This window comes from Homo sapiens, chromosome 7, assembly GCF_000001405.40.
Source record: "Homo sapiens chromosome 7, GRCh38.p14 Primary Assembly".
In the NCBI taxonomy this organism is placed as follows: Eukaryota; Metazoa; Chordata; class Mammalia; order Primates; family Hominidae; genus Homo; species Homo sapiens.
In genome coordinates, this window is record NC_000007.14 from 92,790,979 (window position 1) to 92,811,724 (window position 20,746).

Consider the following 20,746-nt stretch of genomic DNA (forward strand, 5'->3'; position numbering starts at 1 on the left):
AAAGAGCCCAATCTGATGACATGGGTAAGGGGAAGTGTGGTAAGACCACCTGTAAGGAGACTGTTGCTGCAGTAGTACAGGGAAAGTAAAGAAGGCCTGTTCTAAGGAATTGGCAGCAAGGATGGAGAGGAGAGTACAGATTCCAGAAATATTTAGGAGGTTGAGTTGGCAGGACTTGCTAAGTGTCTAAATGTGGCGGGGGTGGAGGGATGGGGAAGGAGAAGCCAAGGATGACTCACATGCTTTTGACTTTGGGGACTTGGTGCCACCCTCATGAGATACAGCAGTGTTCCCAGATCTTTGGTTTTCAGAGGCCTGGAAACTTTCCAACAACTTTACAGCTCTGACAGAACATTGCCAACTAAAGACATTAATATACTCTACTATCTACTATCAATATCACTTCATAAATAAAGCATATTTTAATATCCCAAATGTGAATAGATTTAGCTTTCTGAAAAATTTACCACAGGGCCCTATTTTTCTAATTGCATCACAGATGATGGAAAATTGGTACCAGGCCTCAGACCAACACTGCAAAGCCCTGAGGTAGAATATAGGAGAAGTCAGTGCAGCAGTAAGATGATGAGTTGAAGTCAAAGGAATAGACAGGCTTGCCCTGGCTAACTCTCCAGCCCTAGAGGAATGTATATATATTAAGAATTGTAAAAAAGTTCAAATGGTGTTGGAGGCCCTGAAGAAGAGGCATTCAACATACCTCGAGGGGAAGTGGCTGGGGAGCTGAGTCTCATAGGACAGTCTGGAATTTGCCAGATAAACAAAGGAAGTTTGGCATGGTCCTGGCAGAAGGAACAGCATGTCCAAAGGTATGTAGGTACACAGAAAAATTCATATTTGGGGAATTGCGGATAGTCTGGCATGATTTGGTGATTATCTTGGAAAATGGCAAGAGAAGAGCTGGAAAAGTACACAGAAGTGAAATTATGAGAGTTTAGTAATCCAGGCTAAGAAGTCTGGAAATTATCTTATGGGCACTGGGAAAAAAGCAAAGGACTTTTACAATGAACAATGCTATGGTAGGATGTGTCACTTGGAAATACTACTCTGGTTGCAGAATGGAAGTTGGATTATAGGAGAATAAAATTGGAGGTGAGGAAAACAAGTAGGAAGTGTCTGCAAAAGCCCAGGTAAAAAATATAGACAGATTGGTTACAGAAATAGTAGCAGCAGAGAGAGACCAATACAACTAACAAATATTGACTGAGCACATTATACTCTTCAGCTGTCTATCAGGATCATCAGGCAAGATCCCTGCTCTCTTAGAACTTATTTTCTACTGTTGTTAAACAAAGTTGAATCATGTTTTGCAATTAAAAAAGTTTAAGTGTACCAACCACTTTCACAAATCTATCTCCATTTTTAGGTTGCACTAAATTATATTCTATATGTAATTTATTAGACCATTTCCCTGTTCTTGTAACATTGGCTCATTATTATCTTATGATAAATTCCTAGAAGTGGCATTTTAAAAATAAAATGATATACACTTTTTCTGAATCAAAATATATATATTTTTTGAAAGTTCTTGATCCAAACCACCTGACAGAAGATTGTACCAATTTATACTCCCATAGTGATATCTAGGAGGTGGAATCCAGAAGATCTGGTAACCTACCAGAATGTACAAGTTGAAAGAGAAGTTTGAAATGAGTTTCACGTTTTGGTTTAGACAAGGTAGATGATAGTACTATTTCCAAAGGCCATAAGAAGAGATGAAAATAAGATGAGTGAAGTAATTAATGAGCTCAGTCTGGAAAAGATTAATTTGAGATGTCTGTGACATTCAGGTGGTAAAGTCCAATAAACAACTGTAAACATATACTTCTCAGAGCTCCAGACACAAGTCAAGCAATAGTTTGGGAAGTTATCAGCCTCCAGATGAGACGGAATCTTGGAGGCAAAACATAAAACAAGCAGAATAGCATCCCTAGATGAATCAGAGAGGTGAGCAAGAAAATAGATGAAGAAAATGATATCATAAAACATCAAGGGAATTAAAAAAAATTCAATGTATGGCATCATCAAAAGCAACAAAATACGTATAAATTTAACAAGAGTTCTCTGTACAGTGAAAACTACAAAACAATATTGCAAGAAATAAAAGAGCTAAATAAATGGAAGGACATCCGTATTCATGGATCAGGAAGACTTGATATTGTTAAGAGGCAATACTCCCCAAATTGATCTAGAGCTTCAATGCAATCCACATCAAAATCCCAGCTGGCTTTTTAGTAAAAATTGACAAGCTGATCCTAGACTTCATATGATAATGCAAGGAACCCAGAATAGCAAAAAACAATCTTGAAAAAGAAAAACAATGTTCGAAGACTCGCACTTCTCAATTTCAAAACTTACCATGAGCTGTAGTACCTAAGACAGTATGGTACTGGCATAAAGATAAACAAACAGATCAATGAAATATAATTTAGAGTGCAGAAATTAACTTTCATGTTTATGCTAAATGAATTTTCAACAAATGTGCCAAGACCATTCACTCAGGAAAGAATAATCTTTTCAACAAATGATGCTGGGATAACTGGATACCTACATGCAAAAGAATGAAATTGGATCCTAACCTCACAATATACACAGAAATTAACTTAAAATGGATCACAAACCTAAATGTAAGAGCTAAAACTATAAAACTCTTAGAAAAAAACATAGCAGTAAATCTTTGTGACCCTGGGTTAGGCAATATCTTAATTATAACACCAAAAACATAAGCAATATTAGAAAGAACAGATCACTACAGATTCATCAAAATTAAAAATGTTCATTCATTTGTAAGAAATGGCCAGAGTAGGCAAATCTACAGAAACAGAAAGTAGATTAGTGGCTGCCTAAGGCCAGGGGTGTGGGGGTTGGGGAAAAGTGGGGAATGGCTGCTAATGGGTATGGGGTTTCTTTGAGGGAGAATGAAAAGGTTCTAAAATCAGACTGTTTAACAATGGTTGCACAACCCTGTAAATATAGTAAAAACACTGAATCAAGCGCTTTAAATGGGTGAATTGCTTTGCATGTCAAGTATGTCTCAATAGAGCTGTTTAAAAAAATCAAGGCAAGAGTCAGTTTCAAGAAGAAAGAAGTGGTCAATGGTGTATATAAGATAAAGAAGTGTGTTCTGCTCTTTAAAATCCTTCTATTGTCTTTTATCCACTGGACAAAGTAGCAGAAGAAATAGCTAACACTTACTGAGTGCTTACTGTGTGTCAGACACAATGCTAATAATTTTGTTTTATGTATTTAAATCTCTTTACCCTATAATACAGGTACCATCATCTCTTTCACAGATGAGAAGAATTAAGGTATAGAAGTTTAGTAAATTGCCCAGCATCCTAAAGACTGTAAATGAGAGAGCCAGGATTTGTACTCAGAAAACCAAGCAAGAGAACCCTCACTCTTAAACACTGCATACCCCATCCCATGGCTTATTAGGTCACTCGTGATCTTGCCCCACTCGCCACTCCATCCTCATCTTTTATTGGATCCTAAAAATACTTACAGTTGCTAGAATGTGCGTGATTTTTGTGCTGTGCCTCAACACCAGCTGTTACTGCTGCCTAGAAAGCTCTCTTTTTCTCTGTCCATCTGGTGACGTCCCTACTGATCTTCAAAGATTATGCTCACACATTCTCCATATCCTTACTGTCTCCCCTTCCACCCTCCCTCTCCCACAGCCAGGACTCCTCTGTGCTACCACAACATACCTGACTCATTGGGGGTGCTCAGCCATGATTGCTGAATGGATATATAATATGAATTAAGAAAAATATTCAGTTGTCCTATAAGAGAGTGTACTGTATTTTTGGAAGAAGCCTGAACCAAGTCTGATAAATTAAGTGGGGGATCAGGCTGAGTAATATTCTTTTGGGTCCAAAAAGAGGTGTGATAATAAAGATGTTGATTCTTTGGCCCATAAAACGATTCTGAAGATAATTCCAAAAGAGTCTGAAAATGTTTTGCTCAATTAAAGTAGGGCTAGAAAAACTGGACTGCTTCCCATGGGACCAGATTTATTTGGTCATATAAGTTCTTGTATGGAGTGTTTTCATTTTCTCTTTGTCTCATTATTTTCAAGTCACATGGGATAAGGCAATTATCCTTTTACTAAACATATTCCATTTCCTAAAGAGCAAGTCTCTGAAAAGTTATTGTCGTTTTTCCCCTCATGCTTTCTTTCCTCAGTAACTGTCTTGACATGTTCAAGAAATATTTTATTATCAGAAGGGTGATTTTGCTTATTTCCAAAGAGGGAAGCAATTTGCTACACTTTAATTTAAACCTACCCTTAAATCCAAGGAATGTTTGGCTCATGAAAGGGAAAACAAGGTCCAGAATCTATTAACTTGTGATCCACAGCCTTCAAAGCAATTTACATTCAGTATACATTTGAGTTCATTTAGCTGTCAGAGTAAAGTCTAAATCCTCTGGGTATCTTGCTAGTAAAAAAGTATACTCAGACCAAAACTAGGTCACAAAATGTGTTACAATGACAATGTGTTTCACTCTTCCAACATTTTGAGAAATTTCCAAGGAATCACAAAAAAGAAAACTTCCTGAAAGAAGTAACTTCATACCTTAAATCACATCCTAGATAAGCCCTGTCCCAGTATGGATTAAGGGCATCATTAAAACAATAGAAGAGAACTAACTGTGCCACAGCACACATTCAGTCGTGCTATTTCTTCCAAGTCTAAATCTTCCAAGTCTAAATCAATAAGCCTATCTGTGTTTAAATGTCCTTCAAAGATTTTAATATCCAGATAGTTTAATTTAACCAGTTTTTCTTGTGTCAGAATTTTATAGATTTTTACATTATGCATTTTGAATTAGTTTATACAAAGGTTTGATCTAAGCATTAGCCTATTAAGTACATCTCTGTTAATGTCATTTACTAGTGTTTCTTAGCTGTTACTAGGAGGTCATTCTACTAAAGCCACCTTCTTGTCCTACATTTAAGTGTTATTTGAGCATAAGGTCACTCTCTGAAGAATATCCACTGAAACTAAGATGGAAAGTTGTAAACACAGAGCAATGCTACCTAAATGGAGGACAAAGGTAACACCACCAGCAGCTGAAATTAACTTGGAGAAAAAAAAAAAAAAACTCATCCAAAAAAAAAATTTCACTTAGCATGCATGTATCAGTTTTTTTTTCTGTAATGAGCAACAGATTTTTTGAAAAATATAACCCTAGGAATAAATATATATTTATACAATTTTTTAAAAGTTATAGACATATGGATATTTAATCACTACCTTCTTGGTTTGCATTTCTTTGTTTCAAGTAAAAGAAAAAGCAAAATTGACAAATTAGCAGATAACAAGTAGCTCTATGAGATCATAGTTTTTACTGACTTGTTTCAAGATACAAAAATGATAACAAACCAGATAGTTTAGACAGACTCTTAGTCTTTTAAATCATTCTCATAGAATAATTTGAGAGAAAATAATATTTTATAAGTTGCTACGTGCATAAATATTGTTTATTTATCCTAAACATTGTTTCTTCAGTCTTGGATATTCCACATCTCTTTTCTACATTGTAAAGATATACAGTCTATTTCCCTTTTACAATTGAAAGGGAAAACTGAGTTGGTAAGAGTAGGATATTTTCCCCTTAACTGTAAACACATTATTTTTTATTCAAAAGAAAATGATCTCTGTATCAAAATTCAAAAAAAACCCTCAAAGTCTATAATTTATATTTTAGTAACTGTTTAATCATAGAGGTAAATAAACAGGGCACTTTAAAATATTCCACTTATACCAGTTAAACTTTTTTTTAAATACCACTATCAAGTCATGTGCCAAAAATTTATCTCCAGGAGGTTAGCTTTTAGTCAGAGAAGTTATATCAATGAACAGACAGAAAAGTATCCATAAGCAGGACATGAGACAGGTAACATGGTATCCCCTGAACTGAACTGATGGACAAACTCTAAGATGGAAATAGGGAAAACCAAAATGTGGGGATGAGGATGATCTACCAATAGAAAAGGCCCAAGAGACTATGACCACCCCACATCGAACAGACTAGGCTGTGATGACAACTAAACGGTACTTTTACAAAAAGTATGTATGTTATCTATAGAAAAGCAAACTCTGGAAAGACACAACTGGCAGCATGGCTCAACCCTGTCATAGGTGAGAGTTTGTGAATGAAACTTCCTCTCCTACAGCCAAAATGGATGCAACTGGCACCAGAGCTTGAGGCTATCAGACATTAATCTCATCAGCTAACTCCCCTCTCCAGGTTCCATGTCCACAATGCAAGTATCCTACTATAACCTGGCTTTCCCACAGACAAGCATGCAAGGGAGACAATGATTTGGCTGGCAGATGCAAGCATACTTGACATGTACAGTTTTTACTGGAAAAGAATGCATTAACATTTTTGTTCAAACCTCAGTTTTCTTGTGAGGTCGGGATGAGTCTGTCAACCTTGGACTCCCAAACCCTCTATATATACTAATGAAATTGGGCTTCTAGGCATTTAGTGCCAGGTGGATACTGGAACATGGCAACCACATCACAGAATTGGCTCCCTATGTTTGGGCAGCCAGCCATTGTTCTGACTGCCTCTTAAAAAGGCCCTGGCCCTCAGACATACCTTTTCTTCACACTGTAGCATAATGTTTCTGCATTTTGACTTTAACTCCTACAACTTTTAACCTATAAGAATAAAGATCAGGACTACCCTGGTTTGTTAGAAGAACTTCTAAAGAAATCAACTCTTTGGGCAGCACAGATGAGCACTTTTGAAAAGGCTAATTGTTAGTTTGGTTTATACTGAATTGTTTTGGTTATGAATTGCCTCATGGGATGGGAAATCCCCTGCAGGGCCTTGTCAAACACCTCCTCACTCTCCACGGAAAATCAGCCAGACAACAACGGGATCTTGGACACCTTCGATGTGTTAACACTGGAGGTGCTCCAGTGAGCAAAACTGTCCCCTCTGGAAGTTACTGGAATCACTATCCTGGGAGCCACTATAACAGATGACTCTACTTTTCTCAAGTGTGCTAGGGTGGAAATTAAATTGAAAATGACTCGTCCTGAATGATGACTTGACTTTTCAAGTGAATTTTGTCAACACTGTTAGAGAATTTTGTTCCTGGCTTTAGCCATACAAAGCCCAAATTTGTCCAATTCATCTGATGTAAGACTAAACAAAGGCATTAATGAATAAAAAGCAGAAAAAAAACAGTGCCAAAATCTTTGTATATTTTAGTGCATAATACATTTATCTTCTTCTAGGCAAATGGCATGCAACTTGTTTCTAATTCAAAGAAAGATAATGGAAAAAAACTGTTTACAGTAGAATAATGTTTAATAATTCATAGCTTGATGATCTAATGAAATTACTTTAAAATGCCAAATGTCAAAATGCTTTATCAAATCTCTTCTTTTGCATTTCAACTCTAAGTTAACATTTTGATGAAAAAGGAATTCAACAAATATTAACTGTGTTTTAGGAAGGATTTGCCCAACTTTTGCTAAGCCCAGTTAGCACACTAATTTTTATAGATCTGCTATATAAGAGAGTTCTTACTTTTTATAAAATGTCACCCTAACAATTTTTTAATGTCTACATATCAGTGAATAAATCCACTCTTATTGATGAATGAGGGAGAGTCTCTCTGTTGCTAAGGGAACCCAAGTGTGCTGACCACTTTAAAGTCTTCCACAGGCTTGGGTCCCTCTTAGGACAGCCAATCCCTCTGCTTCCTCCTCTTCAACATCTAGCTCTTCCTTCTCCTGCCCTCTCTTCCTAACTCCAGACACTTCCTCAGCCTTTACTTAGGGCTCCCAATTCCTCCCTGCTTCACACAAATGTCCTTTTCTTGTAATAGAAGATCAAAGCTATTGTCTTCTTCTATATGGATCTTCTGTCCCTCATGATTCACAGGAAAGTGTCCTCCTCTTCAAGACGAACCCTATTCCTCCTGAACTGTGCCTCTCCACAATATGCTAAATCTGCAATTCATCAGCTTTTATTCCCTTTCATTCAATTCCCCTTTAAGTGTTCCCCTCCTGGCTCCTTCTAATACACTTCCCTATTTCCTCATAACAACAAAAATGTTTAACTGTGCCTATCTCTATCAGATTGTCATTCTGCCAGCCACATTCCATGTCCCCCAATTTACTGAATGACAGTCTACACTTTGTGCTACAGTTTCTACACTTTGTGCTACACTTTCTCACTCCTTAGTTATCTATTACCAGGTTTCCCCTCTTTCTCTTCCAGCGAGATCTGTCTCTCAAATGGATAGCAGTAATTCCCCACTACTGGATGCAGTCTTTAGGCTCTTCCACCTCTTGGACGCACCTCAGATACCAGAATGAGATGCCTACTCCTCCCCGAAACTCTCCCCTCCCATGGCTTCCCTGAGAGTTTTCTTTTACTTCTCCCTCTACTTCTCTTGTGTCTGCTTTTCTCTCTGCCCCCTTTTTTCTCCTTCAATCCTAAATGCAGAGTCTCAAGTTTCCATAGTCTTTTTTTTTTTCACTTAAAATACAGGATTTCTTGCTCATTCATCTATTTAATATACAGGGTCCTATTTGCCAGTGACCCTGAAGATCTACTACAGACAGCAACTGTGTCAGAGGCAATTTTGAACCGCCTGTGCTGTGAAGGTTGGCATGGGTGAACAAGTCACTTAGCTGGTGACAGCCTAGTCATGTGCTCAGTAACCACACTGGGGCATTCGTGATTTTCTCCTTATTGTGGGACAAATTATATGCAAAAGTGATATTCCAAATGTGGGGCTCAAAAAAGATTTCTATACATCTCCTTTAAGAATGCCACAGGTTTTCCGGATTCCTATCTGGATGGAGCTCTCAATTTCCTGAACTTTGACTATAACTCTGCCTTGGCTATTTCCTGAAAACACATGTAACTCAACATGTTCAAAACTGAGTTCATCATTGTCCCTCCAAACCTGCTCCTTCTGCTGTGAATGCTATTTCTAACAGTGACATCACCATCACTATCCTCTCACTCAAGCATAAAACCATAATTCATCTTGTTGACCCTACAGCTCTGTTCACCTACACATCTAACTAGCTACCCACATTGGCCAATTCTAGGACTTAACTATCTCTCATATGCAAACCTTCCTCTCATTTCAAGGGCACTACCCTAATTTAGGCCACCATTATTTTTTCTCTCTCCAGGGAATGGTCAATCTCCTAACCAGTTCACCTGTCTCTAGATTCCATTTCAGGCCGCTTTACCCTCTGCTATGATTCTGACCCTATCGATTGGGCATTATCTCCATTCCTCCTCTTCTCCTCACACTGTGGTTAACTCAGCACCTCAGGTTCGTCTGCCATACGTGATGTCATTCATCTCCATGTATACGATGTGTCTGTTTCTTTTCACATCGTTCTTCTCTTGTTTGGAGCCTCATTTTCTTGCTCCTGCAAATTAAACTTAATTTTGTCTTCTGAACTGGCCTAGAATTGTGTCTGTATCTCTGAATGGTCACGATAGCTTTATTCTTTGTATTACAGTAATTGGCACAGGTACACACACACTTTCTCTCTCCCCACTAGGTTATAAACTCACTTAAAGCAGAGATTAAGGAATACACAATCTGACCCACTGTGTAGTCCCTATAGTAGGTGCCTTGCATTCAGGGGGGGCTCAATTAACCTCTGTTAAACCAAAAGTCATCTAAGGCACTATTTATGAACATGTTCTATGCCATGTACTGCTATTCCCTGTAGCAACATTAATTCTGGGAATAAGATCTAATATGTAGCTGGATATCCTTTGCATCTCTGGGCCCATCCCAAAAACATCTTCGATTCAGGCAATCTCATTATCCAAGTTCTAGAATGGACTCTGAGGAAACCTAAGAACAGAGACACCATAGAAGCAAGCCTCATTTCTTGGGATGTATCCTCAGCCTGGTGAGTATCAAGGCTCTACTTAATTTTCCATCCAGAAAATAACACTTTATCATTTTGTCCAATATCCAGTAACTTCCGAAATGATGGATTAAAAATCATTATAAAGCTTCCAAATCTGTTTTACCTTTACAAGCAAGAAACTTCTCAGATGTGGAACCATCTAAGAAATTCTAACATGAATTGTGTGAGAAAAGTCAGTATTATTAAAATATTTTATTTATATTTAAATATAAACAAAAGAAAATAGATAAAAATTTCAAAATTAGCTAATAACGACACTTTTGAATCAATTGTAAATTTTATTTCACTCTTTTTATTTTGATTGGGAGCAGAGAACAACTTTTATTTATAACAGGAATTCCTTTCTTTAAACACTGGAATTAAGCTTTTAGAGAATGGAATATTTCTGAAATTTCTAAGAAATGAACTGGAAAAATTGCCTTCAAAGTTTCTTTCTTAAATAACTGTACATACATGCGTGCTCTCTCTCTCTCTCTATCTGAAATTACAGGGACATAGAATTTTAAAGCTAGAGGTCATCAAGCCTTAGCCCTTCTTTTTGAAAATGAGGAAACAGGCAGGGAATGGTTAAGGTGTCCTGCCCAGGATCTCTCTGAACTGCTCCCTCCACCATACCACTCTTGGCCACATAAGCACCTCCCAAAATTAATTTCAAGAGAGAAAGAATATTCTCTTTCCCTCCTTCCTTCCTTCTTCCCTCCCTTCTCTCTTTCTCTCTTTCTTTCTTTTGGAGTGCAGTGGTGTGATATCGGTTCACTGTCACCCCCACCTCCCAGGCTCAAACAATCCTCCCACCTCAGCCTCCTGAGTAGCTGGGCCCACAGGCGTGCGCCATCATGCCTGGCTAATTTTTGTACATTTGGTAGAGATGGGGTTTTGCCATGTTGCCCAGACTGGTCTCAAGCTCCTGACCACAAGTGATCCACCCGCCTTAGCTTTCCAAAAGTGCTGAGATTACAGGTGTGAGCTGCTGCGCCACCCCGCCTCTCTTTTCGTCTCCTCTTCTCTCCTCCCCTCCCCCCCGTTCTCTCCCCTTCCCTTCTCCTTTCCTTCCCCTCCCTCCCTCCCTTCCCTCCTTCCTTTCCTCACTTTCTTATTTGTATATATTCATGGGGAACAAGCGCAATTTTGCTACACTGATATACTGCATTGTGGTGAAGTCAGGGTCTTCAGTGCATCCATCACTGGTGCAACTTACATTGCACCCATCAAACAACCTCTGATCATCCACCCCTCCATCCAGAACTCTGCCAGTCTCCACCTCTGAGTCTCCATTGTCCAACATTCTACACTCTGCTTCCATGTGTACACATTATTTAGGGAAATAATATTATTCTTACACCTTAAAAACTATCAAGTATTCTTCAAGGAAGCTTCTAAAATATTTGAAAAAATGGAAGGAGGTAGATTTCATTCAATATTCTAATATAACTATCAATCCTTGCAAAGGAATTCCAGTTTATTAAAAATTTGACCTGAAATTCCAATACATCCTTCTGGGTTAGCAAATGCCTCTAATTTTCTAAAATTATGGGCTATGTGCATTCAGTATTAAGAGAATTCTGTCTACTTAACAATCATTCTCTCCTCTCAAAGTCCAGGCCAAAGACATAAAGTGCTCGTTTACGGTACAAGCAGCTATCACATGTCTTTTAAACTATCCGACTGTTCTGCTTTATGTACACAGCTGCAGTTCCCACCGTTTAGGAGTTTACAATATATGATCATTTCCTCTATATAAAAATGCACTACTTTTTGCATGCTTTCATTCCTTTAGGTGGTAAAGTATGTTAATGATGGTGCCCACTCAATGCTGTAAATTAGGGTTTCTCAACCATGGAGCTATTGATATCTGAGGCTGGATAACACTGTTATGGGGATACTGTCTTGTGCACTGTAGAATGTTTAGCAGCTTCCCTCACCTCTACTCACTAAATACTAATCATATCCCTCCATTTGTGACAACCAAAAATATCTGGAAATGTTGCCAAATGTCCCCTAGGAGCAAAACTGCCTTCAGTTGAGAACTACTACTATAGAGGGCCAATTCGTCATTCTGCGTTCTTACAGTTTTTCAAATATGCCCTTCCCATGTACACCCAATATTAAGATGACTGGCAGTAATTAATCTTTTCAAGTACTTCTTGTATAATAACTAATATTATACTGTATTTGTACATATCATTTCAATGACATTTTTAAAGAAATAGGCTATCTTGCACAATCAACCACATAATAAGCACTTATTAAGTACTTGCAATATGGTTAGCAGTATGTGAACCTTCAATAAGTCACAGGTTTTGCTTACAAGGAGCTTTCCCTATAGATGAGGAAAGAAGACATGCACATGTGAATAACTAAGGACACTGTAGGACAAGATATAACACAACACTAAACCAGGTGATATAAACTTCACAAGGGAGGAGTGAACGTTAGTACTAAAGTTTTCAGAAATGCTCCCATGGAGCTGATGACAGCCAGGTGCAACCTTTGAAGATGAGTGAATATCACATAGGTAACAAGGAGAAGAGCAAGTAAGCCATGGAGGGCAGCCACATGAACCAGGCTGGTTGGAGAGAGCAAGCAGGCTCCGTTTGAGAGCCATGAGGGCAGAGTCCCCATTTAGAGGACAGTGTGGGACATGAACATGTAAGACGGATACAGATCACGAAGAGCTTTGGACCACAAATCAAAAAGTCTGGGTTTGAGATGGTAGACATTCAAGACCATTTTGGGGCACATGTGTGATGTGGGAAGAAGGCATCATATGAACTGGAACATAACCCAAACGAGAGAGAGAAAAAAGTTACTCATACAGGTTTATATTGATTGACTCCCGGGACAGTATGAAAAGGGGGAAAAAATGGGCACCAGGAAATGTTTTAAAGGGAAAATCTATTAGACTTGGTTAATATCAAACTATGACAAGTAGGATAAATTAATCTTCAAGGTTCAAGTCTGGATGAGTAGAAAAAGAAGTAAAGCCTCAACCTATATAAGCCATCTACCGTATTCATAGATCTCAATATTACCTACCTTAATTAATCTTAAGAGTCACTTCTCCACTGGTTTGTTTCATTTGATCACCTCATATAGATTAGTGACATTTTATAAATGGAGGCATGAAAAGAAAAATATAAAACATAATATACCAACCATATACATTAGGACAATTGAGAACAGAGATGAGGCAATGCATTCATAATTTAGAGGGAGCTCTGATTTGAGGTCTTGGTTGCCTGGAATTACCTAGACCCTTTCACTTGAGGGTATGCATCCCCTCTTATAAGAACCAGTCACTGAGCTAACCCATTCCTTAGGCCTCATTCTAGTTAGCTTCCTTTTTTAAACCCCTGATTCCCTAGCAGGGTCCAAATACAACTAATTCACAAATTTAGCCAACCAAAACAAATCAACAACAATTTCAACAACCTTCACCGTGGATTCTAGTTCTGAGCCACACTCTTAAGGAAATCTCACATTTTCCAGTTGTCTTTAACTCCGTCCATTTCAGCCATCTCACCTCGCTCCCAATCAAACAATTGTGGGAAAAGACTATCCTTACTCTTGGTTTTCCTCTTCTTGCCTATTGATGGTAATGAAAAATACTAATATTAGGAGTGCTAATTATATGAATGTGAGCTTGTTAATGCTAGATGGTTGGACTTATGTGTTTTTTCCAATTTATGCTGCAGACCTTTATAATTTTTTGCCTTCTACAAATTGTTGTTAACTAGTGTCTTTTTGAAATGCAGAGCTCTGAATCTCAGGACTATCAGCATTTTGAAATTTGTTTGTTGTGGGGAGCCATCCTGTGCATTGCAGGATACTTAACATCAATAACCTCTACCTATTAGATGTTAGTGGCAGTAGTCGCAGCACTAGTAACATCTATAAACTCTACCGCCCCAGTTGTGATAAACAAAATGTGTTCAAAGACTGTCAAATCCCCTGGGGAACAAATTCACCCCTGGTTCAAGACCACTGCTGTAATGTGATCTTGGGGGACAAATACTGGTCATGTACTGTTTGTATAATTCTAGGTTCAAAGACTGAACGAATGAGTAGAAAAATTAGATAACCTATTAACTCTGAAAGCCTATAATTTCTTAACCTCTAAATAAACATATTGCCTTCTCTCTTGATTCAAAGAGCTTGAAATCTCGATGAAGGAAAATTGGCCACATAGCCTATGCCCTTAAAGTAGGCATACTAAGAGGGGCATGGCTAGACTTGGGATGAGTTGGAGACTGAATCATGTAATCTGCCCACTCCACACCCTTCACCACCATCACGTTGCCACTTCCCTTGGCTCAAGTCACTCAGGATCAAAGAGATGCTGCTTTGGGGGTTAGTTGGTAAAAGCATCAGCTTGTGAGGTAATTATATGTAAGGTATCTCCTAGCCATCATAAAGTCATACAGCATTTCTTCTCAATGGTTTAAAATAAAAATCCATTTTCCGTCATGCTGTTCCAACTTTTCACTCTGAAAGCATGATTTTCCCACCAAAATGAGTGAGCTCAAGATGTCACTATGGTCAAGACTGATAATGTTCATCCATGAAACCTACTCTTCATAAACTCCCTCAGTGTAATCATGATGTGCTATAGTTGAAATTGGAAAGGATGTTATGACCAAAAAAAAACTACCATGAAGTCTTGGCATGCAGTTTTATACCGGTCTAGTAACACCTACATGGCTTCAAAAGGCTTAGTAAAACTTCGAAACGATTTAAGAACTATCCTAAAGCACTCCACAGAGGCTCCTGGTATCCAGAACCCCTGTTCCAGGAGACCAGAAGTGTAATGATTCTCATGAACCTTGTTCCCCCCGTACAATAAAATCCCTCTTTCTTGAGCTAGTTTCAGTGGGTCTCTATTATTTCCAATCTGAACCCTAAGGTTACTGGCTATGGCATAAACTACCTACCGGTTCTCTTCTGATTTTAAAATGTTATTTAAAAATGTATCTTCTTGTAGGGGAAGGGGAGTGAAGAGTCATTGTTTAGTGAGTACAAAATTTCAGTTTGGGATGATGAAAAAGTTCTGGAGATAGCAGTGATGGTTGCACAACAATGTGAATGTACTTAATGTCACCGCATTATACATTTAAAAATGATTAAAACTGTAAATTGTATGTTATGTTTATTGACCACATATGTTATGTATATTACCTTTATTTACCACAATAAAATAAGTTTTTAAAAAATCTATCTTCTTGAAAAAAGCATGATTGAAATACACTGTCTACAGAAGCTTCTAATCCTCAACGTGAGATAAACCTAGATAGTTGGGGCTTTTCTTCCTATACTTATGAATATAAATAGAAGTATGTTCCCAACTCTCCCAAAATTCAGTAAAGTGTTCTGAGCCTGTATCCAGGACTATCAAAGACGCCCGTTAAAACATGTACAATTGTAGATTCTGAAGTGATCTTTTGTTTTGTCAGTGATTCCCCCCACCATCCCTTTACTTTTATCACTACTTATCACTTTATTAGCATCTTTATAAAACGATGTAATAAAGTGCAAAATGGATATGCACGTGTCCACATGCAAAGAGGCAGACCCTGGTGGGAAGGAGTGGAGGATGTCAGGGAGGAATGAAGAACCTAATTTTGTAAATTGATTACCACTTACCTATACATTTAAAGCAGTCAGTTCATGTTATAACATGACAAAAATGTCTGTGTAACCAGATGACGGGCACAGGATATCGTGTATATTAATGCCAACAATAAAAACCAATAGAAATTTTGCAACATGCGGAACAGACCGACTTCTCTTGTTAGCATGCCAAGTATAACAACTCCTTTGTTCACTCTGACATTCAGAGCACTAGACAGAAAGGCTGTGAGCCTTTACCTGCGCTTCACTGCATTTCTTCATTTTGATAACAACTGTTTTATCCATATTTTTCTACCGTAAGACCATAAGCTAGATGAATGCAAGAAAAATTTACTTTGTGTTTCCCACAAGAGACATAATACGAAGAGGACAAACAAATACACATTTATTTAGGTTTTGGGCAAGAGGTCAACAATTTAAGATAAGCCATACTGAAGTTGTAGCTTATACCAATTTTGGAGCTGAACTAGTTTTAATTCTGTATCACTCCCTTGAACTTTTTGGTTTGTTCACCACCTGTCCTCTGTTCCCCTTAACCTCATTTATTCTTTCTACCTAATCTTGAGAGCCTCTAGATCCAGAAGTTTTTGCCATATGAATTTTTACCCTTCCATGATATTTTTAAAACTTTAAGAAATCATTTGTTTTCTTAATTTGATCTCTTCTAATTTGGTCATCTTTTACTCTATCTACTTTCTGAAAGTAGATCTATATCTATATGGAGACATGTATATCTATATCTAGAGATATCTATATCTAGATAGAGAGATGTATATATCTCCAGATTTCTGTATCTATATCTAGATATCTAGATTATATATCTGTATCTAGAGATATCTATCTAGATATAGATAGATATACATCTCTTTATCTAGACATAGATACACATCTCCTTATAAATATATCTACATAATTATATGTAAGTTTATATCTATCTAAAAATAAAATGTATTTAACTCTGCATCTCTCTATATAGATATATATCAATATATATAATAGGTATAGATATAAATACATATTATTTTTCTTCTGGTTTCTCATTATTTTATTCTCCACCTAAACTTCCTGCTTGCCCTTCACTAGTACTATCTCAACCTTTCCCTCCATAAATAAATTTAAAAAGTGAAATTTTATACCTAACCAAGCATAATTCAGCAATTGACTTCGTGTTTCCATTGGACATGACACAAGGCCTTCTCTTATCTATCATGATGAACAGTCAAACGGTATAACCAAGCGAAAATTTTATTAACTATAATTCTCTAGTAGCAAGCATAGGCATCATTCATCATAACTACCATTTTATTAGGGTACAATAAAGGATATATCTTGAAGTATCTTCTCAATGCTCAACAAAGATTAAATTATGAGTTTTAGTGTTAAGTGTATTTTATCACATTCTAATCCTTTGAAAAGGGGACTCAGAAGAGATGGCAACTTTCTAATAACTAAGCTTTCTTATTAACTGGACTGCTCTATTCCTCAATTACGCAAGTTAACAGATGACTCCCCTGTAAATTAAAAAGAAAATAAAAAAAACTAGACACCTCATATGGTATTTTTCTTCTTTATGTTTAGTGATAGTTAAGTAGAACTCCTGCTATTGCTCAATACACAGAACACTCATTAAATCAGCAGATGAGTAAAATGCAAAGTGAACCAAAATGCCAGTTACTGTGTTGCTGCGGGGCAGCATCAGAAGCCTGCAGTCTGAAGCATATGCTCCCAATTCTCAGATTTCTATAGCAGCATCTGAGAGAACACACAAGAAAAGAGGGAGGTTTCTTTGCTTTTGCCTATATTGGCCAGTATTCTCACATTTAGAATGCTTGATACCATAAGGTATAGTCGGCCAAATAGTTTGGTAGAAATGTTACAGACAGATCTGAAACAAATGATTCACTTAAAGTGCCTTCTATAAAGTAAATGCTGCTTAAATAATTCACTATTAATTGGACAGGTATTCTGCCTAGTAAAAACTGTGTTTGTATATTCTGTTTATCTATCTTCTTGCATTATTTGCTATTTATTTAAATCATCAATGGAGTTAAATCCAATGTGCAATTTTCCAATGTCCTGAGCCCTTCTGAAAATTGTATGCTTTGGAATGAAATTCTTCATGTGATTTCTCAAGTATTTTGAGGTAGGGTGGTTAGATGAACAACCAGAACATAACCCATTTTCAGCTGGGAGGATAGTCAAATAAACAAAAATATGTTTCTGAATGAAAGATATTCAAAGGAATACATATTACTGCATATTTTCAGTATGATTATGTAACAAGACTCCATTTCAAAGCTAACTTTTTGTTTGGATTACATGTGCAAAAAGGTCAGGGCTATGTTTTCTGTAGGAATTTTTACTTTTGCTTATTTGGAAGCAGTTAAAGGGCCAGAAATCCTGGCTATTTAGAGGCCTCTGTAAAGATGAAAACACATAAACACATTTAACAATAAATATTTGTATTTTAAATATAGGCATATTTTTGCTATACTATAGCTATTTCCTTCACTGCAAACCACTGGTTTAAGATTTCCTTTAATAATGAAGATATATTTCTAAAGAAATATATCTAGATAATCTATAAAATGGTTTTTAAATTGTTTCATAAATTGTAAAACAAATTGGCTGTCAACATGGAGAAACTCTCAATAGCCCAGGAAAACTCAGGCTTAAAAAGTTTCAAGGTTTCCTGGAACTTTCAATGTTTTCTGAAAATTTTCATCTCCAAATGTGCTCAATGTTAATAATTTTAGAGTCTAAAAATTGTGGCTGATCCTAAATATAAAACTAATTGACAACGACAATCTGGTTTCACTCATGGTAGACCTATTCTGGACCATTCAGAAAGTGATGAGGGACCCAAGGGGCAGATCCACAATTACCTTCCCTTACTTGGCCTTACTGGTCACTAAGCCTTTCCTAAAACCAAAGCTGCAAACAGTGCAACTGAAGTTTGAACTCCATTTCCTTCCACTCCTGCCCTACTTATTAGGTTGCACAGAAACAATAAAAGACCAAATGAGTTATAGCAGGACTGCTCTTACTTGAGAGGTAAGGGTATATTTATTTATAGTCCAGGGTCAAAGCTACTTCCTTAGATTGTGACCATCTTAAGAACAAAAAGTATCTAATCCAGTGTGAAATATAATGGTTCATACCTAGTACCATTAACTAATTAAAAACAGAAAGGAAAGACTGCAAATTTTTGATGATGAAGAAACCAAAGGTTCCCTGAAACTCTCAGTTTGAACCAAGGTCATTCGATATCATTAGCCAGAGTGTGGCTGAAAAGAGAAACCAGGAAGTGCTGAGTCATCGTGAGCATATGCAACATCCTCGTCAGCACTTCTGGTGCCAGATTCAAAGGTATGCGTACTTCCTTTGACCTGCTACTCTTCCATCCTTTTCTCAGTAACGCAGGGTAGGTCATGGAAAGCTAACTGCCACCAAGTTGAGAAGCAGCATGAACCCTAACAAATAACACTACTTAACACTGTCAATTCTATATGCTGGTCTCTAGATATGGCTATGAAAATAGATTGTTTGAAAATATATATGCGTGTGTATGTGTGTGTATATGTATATCATTTACTATCTGTCAGAATTAAGCCATTATACCTCTAGTTTCCAGTAAGTCAAGATAGCTTCCTCTTCAAATAAACAGCATGCCTTTGTCAGCATGCAGTTTATGTGCATTTAATTTGCCAAGCAGGTCTTACTAAAACAGTCAAATCCAAATGACCTTTGCATGACTGAAACACTTGTAGTATTAGGTAGAAAAACTATATAATAGGGGAAATAACACCCTGGAGTCAAAAGGCTTGTGGTCTAGTCCTGACTCTGCCAGCAGACAGTTGACCTTGAGCAAGTCATTTACGTTGTCTGTTTCTTTATCTGCAAGACGGGAATAACAATCCTCCCCCAGTCTCCCTCACTGCTGCTGTGAACGTAATTATATTAACAGCACTTAAGAAGTAGACAACTGTCATGACGAAAAGAAGTGATGAATTCATTACATATTTTTTAAAAAACAAAACTTCAGTCTCAGGCTAGCTTCTATGCATTTTATTAGAAACATACAATAATTTTACTGGATTTGAATGTTTAAGTTGTCACCCAGGTTGGAAGTGACATAAGAAGATAAACAGTAATAGTAAGTAGATGGGCAGAATTCAATAGTAAAGGGCTATATAAATATACTTCAAAAAAAGCAATTATAGGCCGGGTGCAGTGGCTCACGCCTGTAATCCCAGCACTTTGGGAGGCTGAGGTGGGCGGATCACGAGGTCAAGAGATTGAGACCATCCTAGCCAACATGGCGAAACCCCATCTAAAAATACAACAATTAGCTGGGCATGGTGGTGCGTGCCTGTAGTCCCAGCTACTCAGGAGGGTGAGGCAGGAGAATTGCTTGAACCCAGGAGGCGGAGGTTGCAGTGAGCCGAGATCGCGCCCGGTGACAGAATGAGAACCCCCCCAGCGCCAAAGAAAAAAAAAGGCAATTATATAGGAGAAATATCAAAATAATACTTTATTGAGAGAAAGAAAATTTGAAGTAACATAAATAATCAGTACCCAGCATTTTCTCATAGAATTTCCACAGGTCTCCAGCATTGCTTTCTGCAGTATTTTACTCATTGGACATTCTTCAGCTATATAAATAAGCATTGTGAACGAGCCTGGGATTCAACTACAGTTATAATGTTGTATCTACTAGAAATCCTGAGTGCTCAAACCCCAATGTAGCAGGGTACTTTAGGCAAACATCGTTTTAGTCCCTTCACCATCCTTGTACACTGAGACACGTGGCTGAAAATATTTACGCCCTCCTTACCGTGTGTAAAAACAAAATGAAAAGATTCTTTCTTGGCCTTTGACTCTCAGAAGGAAGAACAAACTGGGGTGGCTTCGAGTGAACAGTCTTGAGATTAAATGTGGAAATAATTATAGCACTTGAAGATGGCAGAAGGTGGCATTCAAGATGACAGTGTAACTCCATCTAATAGCAACCATTTGTTGAACAGCTCCTATGTCCGTAGTACCTATGCCTTGCCCTTGCAACTACTACCTGATATAATGTCACACTTAACCAGAGAAAAAGTAGGCAGACTTGAGAGATTCCTAATGGACTTAATCATTTTGTCCAAGAGAAT

At 37.5% G+C, this 20,746-nt stretch overlaps 1 protein-coding gene across 3 annotated transcripts in view, besides 6 other annotated features; it reads right to left on the bottom strand.

The window, feature by feature from the left end:
• CDK6 (cyclin dependent kinase 6) overlaps positions 1 to 20,746 on the bottom strand; it is a 231,653-nt gene that overhangs the window by 186,058 nt on the left and 24,849 nt on the right. The window lies entirely within an intron of this gene.
• Positions 6,908 to 6,977: an enhancer, noted in NCBI's record as "active region_26273". NCBI's record gives its function as "activates an Ori minimal core promoter by ATAC-STARR-seq in GM12878 lymphoblastoid cells {active_cell/tissue: GM12878}" and the evidence as "EXISTENCE:reporter gene assay evidence [ECO:0000049][PMID:35858748]".
• Positions 18,404 to 19,603: an enhancer, noted in NCBI's record as "MED14-independent group 3 enhancer chr7:92438696-92439895 (GRCh37/hg19 assembly coordinates)". NCBI's record gives its function as "activates an origin of replication core promoter dependent on BRD2, BRD4, P300/CBP and CDK7 cofactors, and independent of MED14, by STARR-seq in HCT116 cells {active_cell/tissue: HCT116}" and the evidence as "EXISTENCE:reporter gene assay evidence [ECO:0000049][PMID:35650434]".
• Positions 18,592 to 18,641: an enhancer, noted in NCBI's record as "active region_26274". NCBI's record gives its function as "activates an Ori minimal core promoter by ATAC-STARR-seq in GM12878 lymphoblastoid cells {active_cell/tissue: GM12878}" and the evidence as "EXISTENCE:reporter gene assay evidence [ECO:0000049][PMID:35858748]".
• Positions 18,832 to 18,976: an enhancer, noted in NCBI's record as "145 bp enhancer 59/60 fragment used in the MPRA reporter construct; PK_construct_3404". NCBI's record gives its function as "activates an SV40 promoter by MPRA in HepG2 and K562 cells {active_cell/tissue: HepG2 | K562}" and the evidence as "EXISTENCE:reporter gene assay evidence [ECO:0000049][PMID:23512712]".
• Positions 18,899 to 18,909: a transcriptional cis regulatory region, noted in NCBI's record as "NFE2L2 motif; enhancer activity is reduced when this motif is scrambled". NCBI's record gives its function as "necessary for full MPRA enhancer 59/60 activity {active_cell/tissue: HepG2 | K562}" and the evidence as "EXISTENCE:site-directed mutagenesis evidence [ECO:0005528][PMID:23512712]".
• Positions 19,092 to 19,201: an enhancer, noted in NCBI's record as "active region_26275". NCBI's record gives its function as "activates an Ori minimal core promoter by ATAC-STARR-seq in GM12878 lymphoblastoid cells {active_cell/tissue: GM12878}" and the evidence as "EXISTENCE:reporter gene assay evidence [ECO:0000049][PMID:35858748]".